This window comes from Homo sapiens, chromosome 9 (assembly GCF_000001405.40).
Source record: "Homo sapiens chromosome 9, GRCh38.p14 Primary Assembly".
Classification (NCBI taxonomy): Eukaryota; Metazoa; Chordata; class Mammalia; order Primates; family Hominidae; genus Homo; species Homo sapiens.
The window spans coordinates 110,934,843-110,947,370 of record NC_000009.12 but is presented as its reverse complement, the minus strand read 5'-3'; the positions used below and the strand labels follow the sequence as shown (position 1 = coordinate 110,947,370).

The following is a 12,528-nucleotide window of genomic DNA, read 5'->3' as shown; positions in this document are numbered from 1 at the left end:
TTTTGAGGACAACTGAATTTGGGAATAATGCTATCTTATTTATGTTTTTGTTTCTTGGGCAGGGTGAAATTCTATAACTTCGTATTACAGAGAAGTTTCTAATTATGGTGATTTGGATTTTATAATGAGCTTTTTGGAAAAGTACTTATTGGACTTTGTATGAGTGTATTTTTGTTCTTCCCAAAATTTCTTGCAATAAATATGAGCTACTTTCTAAAGATGAAAAAATCATCTATAATCTCACCTACATAAATTTTACAAAATTGTCATTCTATGTATTGCTTATGCTTTCCTCCTATTTTGCACTCTGTTTTTCTCCAGTAATACAAAAAGTTGCCATTCTGCTTTAGTGTATTATTCAGTTCAGTGGTTTTTGAATCAGCATATTTAACTTTATTTTTGAAAACTTGTCACATTTAAATCATCTCATTTTTACTTGAGTAATAAGAGAAAATTAATATGTTTACATTCTGCTTCCCCATTTCAAGTTTTTATCTATACAGTAAGTAATTTTAATCCCAGATTATTATTAAATTGCTATTTTATTAATAGGTATAGCTTCTTTCAATAATTATTTTTGATATTTGCTTTAAGTTTTATAACCCTATGAAGAACAATTATTTAGAATCATGTTCTGTGGGTTTTAATGCTTGCTGCCAGGGTCTTGTATTTATTGTGTGTGTGTGTGTGTATTTATTTTTTTCTTTTCTCAAGAGTTAAATACTATATACACTTTCTCTACGAAGGAAGTGTAGATGAAATGTAGATGGCATTCTTTCTGAATACTCACATTTCTGTGACTGTTCTTTATTGTCCTCGTATGAAAACATCAATGTAATTGGCTATGTATCTCAAAAAATTTCTCTGTATAATGGGTCTGTTCTGATTCTCTCTGTCTTTAGATATTTGACTTGTTATTTTTTTTCTCTAAACTCTTACAATTTTTCTTTACCATTGAGATCCCAAAATCTCATCAAGATACACCTACATTTTAGTTGCTTTTAATTAACTTTGTTTTGTAATCTACATAAATTTAAATCACTAATCTGAGACCTTTCTTTTTAGGCAATTACTTGTCTTCTGTTTGGAGCTGTGTTTTTCAGGTTCCTTCTAATCTTTCTTGGACCCCTGGTGCATCTTGAATTTTTTTCCTATATGTGCCTTCTTTTCTTTTGTTCTTGTCATCTCTGACTCTTTTCTGAGTGTTGGGTGAATTTCCTTAGTCTTCTACCTGCCATTTCAGTTTTCTGGAATTTTTATACTTCCTTTCATTACCTGCATTGCCATTTTTAATACAGAAATTGTTTTTCAGTTTGTTCTGATAGGCACAATAATGGCTTCCAAAGATATCCATTACTTAATCCTCAGAGCCTGTGGCTACTACCTTGCATAGAGAAAGGGACTTTTCAGATGTGTTTCAGTTAAAGATGTTGAGATGGGGAGTTTCTCCTAGATTTTTGGGTGGGCTCAGTGTAATCACAGGGGTCATCAAATGTGGTAGAGTGAGAAAGAAGATTGAGTGTCAGTCATGTGAGAAAGACCTGACTAGTCATTACTAGCTTTTGAAGATGACAGGTAGCCATGAGCCAAGAGATGTGGGCAGCCTCTAGAAGTTGGAAAAGACAAGGAAACGGATTCTCCCCTAGAGCTCCTGGAAAGAAACAGAGCTTTGCCTTCCCGGTGATTTTAGTCCTGTGAGACCTATTTTGGACTTCTGACCTCTAGGACTGTAAGAGAATAAATTTGTATATTTATGCTGCTAAATTTATAGCAATTTGTTAAAGTAGCAATAAAAAACTATTTTTGTGATGTTTTTACTGATTTCTTTTGTCTTCATAATGGCTTGTTCTATTTTCAATGTTACTATGTTAACAAAACACATTGAGGACACAAATCAGAGATGTCCCATCATTTAATCTTTTTCTCTTTCTATCTCTTCTTTTTTTCCCCTCCCATACATCTGCTTCAGTGGGAGGTGATTTCTTCTTTGGCGAGAGATAAGTGGCCACCTCCTTTGATTACATTTTTCCCCATTATGTTCCATAATTATTTTTCTGTCATTATAGCCCTGACTATCTTATTGGCCTATAGTCCAATTGCAGTTAAATTGGATTCTCTCTGAACCATGTAGGTTTTCTGCCTAAGTCTGTCGGCTCCTGAAGAAGTAGGAAAGCCCATTCACACTGCCCTTCTTACTGCCATTGGAGGTGCTTTCAGGGTCTCCACTGCTTATTCTTTTGACCTGTTGCTTTCTGCAGACAATAAGAGAGGAGGTTTAATTCCTCTATCAGTTCAGTCCTATTGTCATAAAACTAACTGAAATTCCTCTCACTTCTTCTCAGGCATATTATACCCTCCCAATTTTTAATTCCTGGTGTATTTTCTACTCTTTCAATATTTAGCTGCTAATTTTCATGAAATATAGCGTTCTTATCCAGAATCCTCTTAGTATAGGATTTTAAATCTGAACTAGACCTTATGTATAAGTTAGTCCAATTTCCTCATTTCACAGATGATAAAATTGAGTTTCGAAAATCATTTAAGTTTTATCATTAAATATGTATGGTTTTTATGGTATTACAGTCAATTGTTGAGAGAAAAGAAATGGCATAGGACAGGGCACTTTTCTCTACCTTTAGAGAAAATCTGTCAGTTTTACTCATCTTTGTACATTGTGGCTTAAAGAGATAATTTATACTTCTTAATTTTGCCATCCTTAACTTTATCGTTTTTCTCTGTGGGAAGGGCTAAGAAGCTGCATATATCTCTGCTTAACTTTGTTGCTACTTGGTGTTCAGAAGTTGGAATGCTGGGAAATAATATACGCTTGATATTTGGTTTAAACATTTCTTGATTCAGAGAAGGTAGATGGTTATAGAGACTAATGAAAAGAACAGACTTTTATATTTGTCTTGACAAAGTTTTAAATATCCTTTGCAGAAAGAAAATTTGTAAAGTTTAAACATTTTTGGAAATATCTTTAATTTATTAAGGAAATCAATATGTATTTAGCATGTAGTCCATAGAACAGTTGGATACTATACAACAATGAATAAGCAAGCTAGAATCTCTGCGTTTATAGGGTTTCATAGCCTAGTGTAGAGGGGATCAACAGATAATTAAGCAATTATGATACAGTGATTCCCTGGACCAGCAGCCTTGGCATTACTTGGGACCCTACCTCAGATCTACTGAATCAGAAGTTCTTGCGGGTTATGTCAGCAATCAGTGTTTTACAAACTCTCAGGTAATTCTGATACAAGAAACCACTGTTTTCACTGTTGAGAACCAGAGTTGAGAGAGAGAGCACAGCACATTAAATAGAGCTGAAGCTGAGAGTTTGGAGTCATTAATATCTTGAGTTGAGGCTGGAGAGGCAGGTAAGTAAGGTCTGATAAGATGATTGAAAAGTTTAGACTTTTATCTAACGTGCACTCATAAGCCCTTAAAACATGTCCAGTGGGGAAACAGCTTGATCAACTTTGTCTTTTTTTTTTTTTTTTTTGAGATGGAGTTGGGGTCTTGCTTTGTTACTCAGGCTGGAGTGCAGTGGCATGATCTTGGCTCACTGCAACCTCCACCTCCCGGGTTCAAGCGATTCTCCTGCTTCAGCCTCCTGAGTAGCTGGGATTACAGGTGCCCACCACCATGTCTGACTAATTTCTGTATTTTTAGTAGAGAGGGGGTTTCACCATGTTGGCCAGGCTGGTCTCGAACTTCTGACCTCAAGTGATCCACCCACTTTGGCCTCCCAAAGTGCTGGGATTACAGATGTGAGCCACTGTGCCCTGGACTGTGATCTCTTTAAGAAGCAGACAAGTAAAGAGATAAATAATTATACAATGTATTAAGTATAATATTTGAAGCATAATCTAAAAGCTATTAAAGTCTAGATAAGGAAAGAGACTTTAGATGCCTGGGTAAGTCAGAAGACTAACCACTTAAGTATTTCACGTTGTTCTTGGAAGTTTTAGTGTACAACCTATGGATATTCAGTAGAATATTTGATCAAAAATAGTGGTTAAAAGTGTCATATGTTTTGGGTAATTTATTAGATTCAAAGCAAAATAAAAATGAAAAAGTAGAATGTGAACCGTCTTCAAGATATATTTTTTAATTTTAGGGGTCCCAGGTAAACTTAGAGCTTCAAGAAGAATGACTTACTCTATGTGATGTATACTTTTCTAATTTCTAGTTTGTTACTTATTTTCTAATTTTGTTTAAATATATTATTATATATAATTACATATTATAATTATATATAATTATATATTATATATTATGATAGATAAATAAACATATATTATTCTGTTTTAAACTGTCTCAATCCTTTTTAAAGTGATTATTATAAATATTGTAAATAATAAGCAAATATATTCTTATCAATGATGTTGAAGAATAAGTAAACATGTTATAAAGCATTTTCACTCCACACTTTAAAAAATATGCTGCATCTAATCTAAGTATATTTTACTTGTAGAACATTGTCAAAGGGTCACCTACTCTTTGGAGGTTACGTTGGGTCCTCCAAAAAGAAAAAAAATTCTCAAATGTCATAGATTGGTTGACAAGTCCTATTCTGAACTTAAGGAGTTGTGGGGGTAGGCAGTGCTGACCACAGGAATGTTGAGCAGCAAATGCTGGCTTTGGGCAAAAAACCTTTGATGCACAGTGACTTGTTTGAAATGTTTGGAATGATGGTCCTTGTGGGAACCTGCATTACAAAATGTCTGTCCCACATGGAACATACTGTGTGAGAATAGAAATGCAGAATAATAGGGCAATGATACCCTATCTAGAAACCAACTGTGTTTACAGATTCCCTAAATAACAGGTCAAATAGATTTTACTATGGTAAATATTCCAATTGCAATGTTCTGCAAAATTTTTGTCTGTCTCATGTATTTTAAGCAAGATTTCTTGGCCATGTGGCTTTTGTAGTAGACTTCAATGACATAAAACCACTAAGCAGAGACCTTGTCATTTATTTAACTCCAACTGCCTTTAATCTTAAGGACAGTAATATTGTGAGAAACCTTGGAGTTTCAACATAATCACAAGATGGTATGCAGGATCAAATGTTCAAATTATTTGCTTTTGTTTTTCTGTTGCATGTACTATAAAAGTCTTGTGTTATCTATATAAGCTTTAAATTTGGACCTGTGCCTTCTTTTTCATCATCTTTTCTCCTTTTTCTTTTAGTTCACAGCCATGAATGAACCACAGTGCTTCTACAACGAGTCCATTGCCTTCTTTTATAACCGAAGTGGAAAGCATCTTGCCACAGAATGGAACACAGTCAGCAAGCTGGTGATGGGACTTGGAATCACTGTTTGTATCTTCATCATGTTGGCCAACCTATTGGTCATGGTGGCAATCTATGTCAACCGCCGCTTCCATTTTCCTATTTATTACCTAATGGCTAATCTGGCTGCTGCAGACTTCTTTGCTGGGTTGGCCTACTTCTATCTCATGTTCAACACAGGACCCAATACTCGGAGACTGACTGTTAGCACATGGCTCCTTCGTCAGGGCCTCATTGACACCAGCCTGACGGCATCTGTGGCCAACTTACTGGCTATTGCAATCGAGAGGCACATTACGGTTTTCCGCATGCAGCTCCACACACGGATGAGCAACCGGCGGGTAGTGGTGGTCATTGTGGTCATCTGGACTATGGCCATCGTTATGGGTGCTATACCCAGTGTGGGCTGGAACTGTATCTGTGATATTGAAAATTGTTCCAACATGGCACCCCTCTACAGTGACTCTTACTTAGTCTTCTGGGCCATTTTCAACTTGGTGACCTTTGTGGTAATGGTGGTTCTCTATGCTCACATCTTTGGCTATGTTCGCCAGAGGACTATGAGAATGTCTCGGCATAGTTCTGGACCCCGGCGGAATCGGGATACCATGATGAGTCTTCTGAAGACTGTGGTCATTGTGCTTGGTAAGTTCTGTCTTGACTGTAACTTACTTTATAGATTCTCAGTGACTAACATAAACCACATTATTTTATGTCAGAGGTAACCAACAGTATGAATATTCACCAGGTAATTCACCAGGAATTACAAGGGGATGAGGCACCTTTATATTAAATGTCAGCTTATGAGTCTTCCTAAAATTATAGAATTAGCGTTAGGGAAACATGGGTCCCAGTGGTGCAGTATAAATGATGATGATGTAAAAGATGTCATTGAAGAGTTTGGCTATCTAATATTGAAAATACCAGAATTACCAGTCAAACTCATTCATTTTTCTTACAGCCTAAATTGTGAAACTTTTGCATTGTGGTTTCTGTATTACATATTTTCAGACAGAAAGTGCTTTTGTAGAATATGAATATGCTTCCATATATAGTTATTTTTGTTAGTCTATTCTGTAATTGTTGCTACATTATAGGTAGTATATCAAGGTTTTATATAGATTTACTGAACAAAACAGATTGGAATTAATGATATTCTCTGACAGTCATCTTCATGAAAACTTCCTTATTTTCTATTAATTTTCTATTTGTAGTAGTGGAGGTTAATTCATATTTCAAGGTGAAGAGCAAGATTTGTAGACTCAAATACCTTCTGCTTTTAAATAAGCATTGTTTTTCTTGGATGAAAAATTCATAGTAGTGATCAAGAAGAATATATTCACTTATGTGTGTAGAAGGTAGTTAAAGAGCACCTACTATGTTCTACGCTCTGTGCTGGCTCCATGAAAAGGACAGATACAGACATTTCCTTTGGAGCTGAGAGTAGAGTGAGAGTTTTTTAAAATAATTACCCAATGGAATTATACATTCTCCATAGACTATATTCAGGTTAACGTTTGATCACATTAAAAAATCTTTTTTGAAAACCTTTTATCATTTCATCTTTCCCTATGGAAATTGAAAAAAAACATTTTATCACCTCCTCTTTCCCCACAGAAATTCAATGGAAAGTTCCTATAATTCTCTGTGCTCCAATTTATATAGCATTTTTGGGTGAATGTAACATGGGATTATGTGGCTCCTCTGAAACTCTGGGAATTACCTTAATTTTAGCCACTGGAAGGAGACAGGGTCCTGCTGATCATTATATAAAGTAGTATTCAGATTGATGCATAGGTCTCGTCTGTTTTGGTTAGGATGACTGCATCATGGACATCATTTTCAGCTATACTCATTGTTGACCCTCTTGTAGACCTGTGAGAATAGCAACTAAGCCTTGGGATCACTGACACACCTAAAACCCTGCCTAACTAACTGAAACACTGAGGACCCCATCACCTCAGATATGAGATTGTCTTATTGCATCCAATGAAGATTAGTAGAACTACAAAAATGGTTTCTCTGTATGTTTATTAACAGGACCTTAAGCACACCTGTGCCACAAGGCCACATTTTCCATGATGTGGATAAAACACATCTTTGTTTACCATGGATGCTATTTTTGTATGAAATAAAACATGAGACATTAAATAACATGAGACTTTTTTCCTGTATTGACTCAAATATTTATTTGCTGATGACCTAAATGTTGGTTGACATTTTTTATATGCATGAACTTTTTCTATTACGACAAGTGCTACTCATAGTTTGCAGAATTGCCAGCAGCAAATGACTACTGAACTTGGACTATTAACCTGCCAAGTTCTTGTTTTAATTTTGACCTTTGTATAATATCTTGTGTATTCCAGTGTGCAATGTACTGAATGATTCACATACTTTTGTGCCTCTTTGGGTTGTTTTTCAGGTTGAAATAATCATTTTGAGGCTATAGGAGCTAGTGTTTCAGTGTACATTTGCCCTAAATGCCACTTTCCCATGCCCAACTACTACCACTGCACAACCACTAACTTTAAAATAACAGAAATAATATTTAAACTAGTATACTCCACAAAGATCGAATGCAGTTGACATCTCTGGAATAAAGAGCATGATTTTTAAAGCTGTGAGATGGAAGAACTTTCAGAACATGGAAAACCCCGTCACGGTGATAGGTGAAGGTATTTGGTGAAGAAAGATGGGAATAAGATTGTAATATAGGAAACAGAAATTAAATGGACCGTAGCCTTTTTGAGAAAAGTAGCAAGAATAAGAGAATGGGCAGGATGTGGGCAGGGAGTGGTTGGAAAGTTTAGAATGGGGAAGTCACAATCCTAACAGATGTTTTTCAAGGCGTGGTGCCTAATGCCATTCCTACAGTATGCTCCCCTATTTGAATTGTAAGTGTCCATCCTTAGATAGGCACGGTTACATGGGAGACATGGGTTGGTCTTGTCATAATGTAGGCAAACCCCAAAATTGGGGCTCAGCCTGGGGGAGTTCTTGGCTCTGCCCAGGAAAGAATTCAAGAGTGAACCAACAGTGAAAGAAAGCAAGTTTGTTAGCGTAACAGTGTACAGCCAAGTGACCACTCCAAAGGCAGAGCAGGGCTATCTCATAGGCAGGGTAGCACAGAACAGCACTAATGGATTGCTGGCTAGTTATATTTATACCCATTCTTTTTTCTTTTTCTTTGAGACAGGGTCTTGCTGTATCACCCAGGCTGGAGTGCAGTGGCATGATCTTGGCTCATTGTAGCCTGGACCTCCTAGGCTCCAGCAGTTCTCCCACTTCAGCCTCTCAATTAGCTGAGATTACAGGTGCATACCACCACACCCAGCTACCCAGATTTTTTTTTTTCTTTTTTCTTTTTTTTTTGTAGAGATGGGGTTTTGTCATGTTGCCCAGGCTGGTCTTGAGCTTCTGGGTTCCAGTGATCTTCCTGCCTTGGCCTCCCAAAATGCTGGGATTGCAGGCATAAGCCACCATGCCTGGGCCCCCACTCTTAATGCTAAATATAATTAAACAGGTTATTCATGAACTTCCTGGAAAAGGGGTGGGGAGTTCCTGAAACCATGTAAGGTTAACTTCCAAGTCATTGCCATTGCATTTGTAAACCGTCATGGTGCTGGTAGGAATGTCTAATGCAAATGTATTATGATTCCTGGTCCTTGCTGGTTTGGATTGGTTTCTTTGCTACATCCTGTTTTGATCAGCAGCGTTGTGAAAACAAGTCCTGCTGGTCTCCCACTTCAGTAGGAACAAGAATTCTGGTCTACTCGAAGTTCTTCTCTTTGTAAATTAGTCCATTGATAATCTGGTTATTTTACTTTAGTTTGTGTACATTTGGTTTTTAGTATTTGTCTTCACTGCCAGATTGCCAGGTTTGTGAGGGCAGGCAGGATTGTAATGATTGTTTGTTTTCTCCACGTTGCCACATTGCCTGTCACGGCTATCTGGTACAAAGTAGGTAGTCAATAAATGCTGAGGGAATGCATGTGATGACAAAACCAAGTTTCTCTGCCTTCAAAACTGAAGACCAGAGCCGTAGTGAATTCACTACAGTAAATGCCACTTTATTCAGCTATGTGGGAGCCAAACCTAGCGACACCTTTATGTTCTATGCCTTCTAAAATACAACAGCCTGGAAAACTCCTGGCTACAATGGGTGCTCAGTAAATAATATGTTTGTTTTACTTCCATTTATTCTGGGAATGATTACTCAGTTTCCATTTTCACTTCATCAAAATGATCCCTGGGTTTTAGACCTATTCAGTCTTCATGATCAAAAGAAGAATTTGTTGGTCAGCAACTGACTTGTTATGAGTCAAGTTATATTAAAATAAAGTCATCTTTGAGATTAATAATGGGCAATACCAATGGCTGGTTTTTAAGCATGATCTTGTATTAAGCTGCTTTTGAGTGAGTACTGGATCTTAATAATTATTTTTAGTTGTGAAATACTTATTTGGCATAAATCATGTGCTACCTTAGAAATTAGTATTTGTAAATTACAACCCTATGGCGTATAGGTACTGTTATTGATTTGTTATCCTTATTTTCCAGTTGATAAAAACTGAGGTAAGGAGAGGTTAGGTAACTCTCCCACAGCCACACAGCTAGGAAGTATAGGAACGGGGATTCAAGGTCAGGAGCTGGGATTCAAGGTTGGGCACTTGGGTTTCAGAACCCATGTGTTTGTCCCCTCCATGTTATTCTACTTCCCTTTAATCAAAACAACTAGCAGCACATGCTGTATTTAGTTATAACATTTGAACAGCAAGCAGTGTGTGCTATTAAATTGAAACACTGTGATCTCATTTGTTTCTGTTGAAACTGCCTAGCTGTGCTGACTGGGCTTTGTTTCCCTGGGCAGAGAAAGCTTTTAAGGGAGCAATCTTTTCTTCCTTTTGCTTCTGATGACCCTCATTTCATCCACCCTTTTCCACTGTTTCATGTTGCAGCAGCACTAACTGATGGCTTCTGATTGAGGGAGGATTTTGTTCAAGGTATAGTTAACTTGAAGGTTCATTGCCCTAGCATAAAGTCATGTAATCCCTCCCTAGGCTTGAAGTCTCCCTACTTGACATTTTACCAAGAATTCCTTCTGAGTCGTTTCCACTATTGAGTCAGAGTGGCCGTCAAGATGTTCTTCCTTATTTGACCATGGCATGTCTTGAATTATAAGTCCTTTCCTTTTTGGCTGTATTCTTTGTGATGACACTTCTGTCCAGGATACTTAGAGAGGAGGAGATCCAGAATTTGAAAAGAGAAAATCATGGTTAAGATGTGAAGTTTTTACATCTGAGTCCTGGGGAGAGACATAAAGTAAAATGAATCCAGGTGTGGCTTACCTCTTTGGGGAAGAAGAGGGAGACACTGTTTTTCTAGTTTGTTCTGGTTGGAAACGATCACCATGGAAGCTAAATTACTCCTTATGTCTTACATTCTCTGTACTAGGGTCAGTATGCGGCCCTACTCTTCCTGTGTTGTTTATACTCTTACATCAAGGAGTTACATTTTCCTCATTTTACGTTGAGGGAACTGAATTAGGATAGGTTAAGTAACTTGTCTAAGATCATTCTTTTTGTAAGTGGCAGAACTGGAAATCAGCTGTCAGATTCTTGTAGACCATGCCTTTTGGCCACAGGACACTGACTCTTCACATACCATGGTGACTGTCACCAGTGGTGACGAAAGTGGCAGGAGTCAGATAAGTTTAAGACCATAGTTTTCTTATTCACTCTGATGAAAGATTTAATTTGGCTACTGTCCTATTAGCAAATCTATATGTGCTTCTCTTTTCAGTTTACTTCAACAAGCATGTTGTTGAGTGCCAATTGTGTGCTAAGGGATAAGAGAAAAAATTCTTTACAGAGCTTATGATGTAGTAGAGGAGACTAAAAAAGAGCTGCAAAGCACTCGGGTTCATGTGCTAGTAGAGGTATGGGCAGAGAGTGATGACGAGTGGAGTGATGGGAGGGGCTCCCAGAGGAGGCAATCTTGAGCTGAGTCTTGCTGGATGTAGAGGAGCTTGCCTCACTGTAGCATTGGGTGGAGGAGAAGGTGACCAGTTCATGAGCAATGATGATCACCTTTGAGGAACTGAAAGTAGTCAGGTGTGATTAGCACCTAGTAGGTATGCCAGATGGAGTTTTGACAAGAGGGTCAAAACCTTTATAACATACTGAGAAGTTTGAGCTTCTGTCTGTGGGAGTTGGGAGACGATGAAGGGTTCCCCAAGATCAAATGAACACCAATTCCTTATAGGCAGAGTCCTCACATAATGTATCATCCAAACTGAGATGCTTTTGGGAATGAAAACAGGCACTAACTGTTGGGAATCTGGGATAACAGGAGTAAATCAAGACTGTTTAGGGCAACCTAGGATGAATGGTCACCCTCCTCCAAGGCTCTGCTCTCTGTTTGTTCTTTTTTTTGTTTTAGAGCCAGGGTTTCACCATGTTGCCTAGGCTGGTGTTGAACTCGTGAGCTCAAGTGATCTGCTCACCTCAGCCTCCCAAAGTGTTGAGATTTCAGGTGTGAGCCACCATGCCCAGCCAATATTTTTTTCTAGGTTCTCTTTTAGTTTTTCAAATGCAGCTCTCAACACTGGACTTGTATTGCTGTGTATAATTGGCTTTTTTTTTTTTTAAGGCTGGAGTCGGTCCAGATTTAGAATTCTTAGAACTTGAAAGGATCCCTAAAAATTATATCATCCAACTCCCACATCTTACAAATGAAGAGACCGAGACCCCCAGGTTAATTGAGAACTTCAGGTCTTAGTTAGCTCCTGATCCAAGCCAGGATCCAAGTTTCCTGACTTCCACTAAGGTGCTATTTTTACTGCCCCTGCCTTGTTCAGTCCCATCCACACTTTCCATCTTCATCTTTTTTTGGGAACTTCAGCCATGTATTTATGTGGCTAGCCAGGATTAGGTGTAAACATTGTGGCTGTGAAGGTAACTGGTTCTCAAAGGAAGAGTTTCCTTGAATAGGTCTTCTTATAACCAATTGGTAATCTCCCTCCCTAATTAAACCTTGAAAAAAGTTATCTGAAACTGAATCGCTTGTACATTATTAGCATCACATATAGTAGCTTTTCACATATATTAGCATCCTGTTAGCTTTCTTGACAACAGCATTATGTTACTATTTTTCATTCCACTTGGTTTTTATATTAAGTTTGTGCTCTCTCTCTCCTCTCCTCTCTCTCTCACTCTCTG

At 37.7% G+C, this 12,528-nt stretch overlaps 1 protein-coding gene across 77 annotated transcripts in view, besides 1 other annotated feature; it reads left to right on the top strand.

Moving 5' to 3' along the window:
* LPAR1 (lysophosphatidic acid receptor 1) overlaps positions 1 to 12,528 on the top strand; it is a 165,736-nt gene that overhangs the window by 91,628 nt on the left and 61,580 nt on the right. For 71 of the 77 annotated variants that reach the window (NM_001387471.1, NM_001351397.2, NM_001387475.1 and 68 more), the window contains one exon: positions 5,203 to 5,950. In NM_001387471.1, the coding sequence (NP_001374400.1) occupies positions 5,203 to 5,950 (748 nt within the window). Of the gene's footprint in view, positions 1 to 5,202; positions 7,460 to 12,528 lie in introns of those variants that run through there. The other 6 variants (NM_001387516.1, NM_001387517.1, NM_001387518.1 and 3 more) reach the window with 2 other exon arrangements.
* Positions 11,311 to 11,380: an enhancer, noted in NCBI's record as "active region_28791". NCBI's record gives its function as "activates an Ori minimal core promoter by ATAC-STARR-seq in GM12878 lymphoblastoid cells {active_cell/tissue: GM12878}" and the evidence as "EXISTENCE:reporter gene assay evidence [ECO:0000049][PMID:35858748]".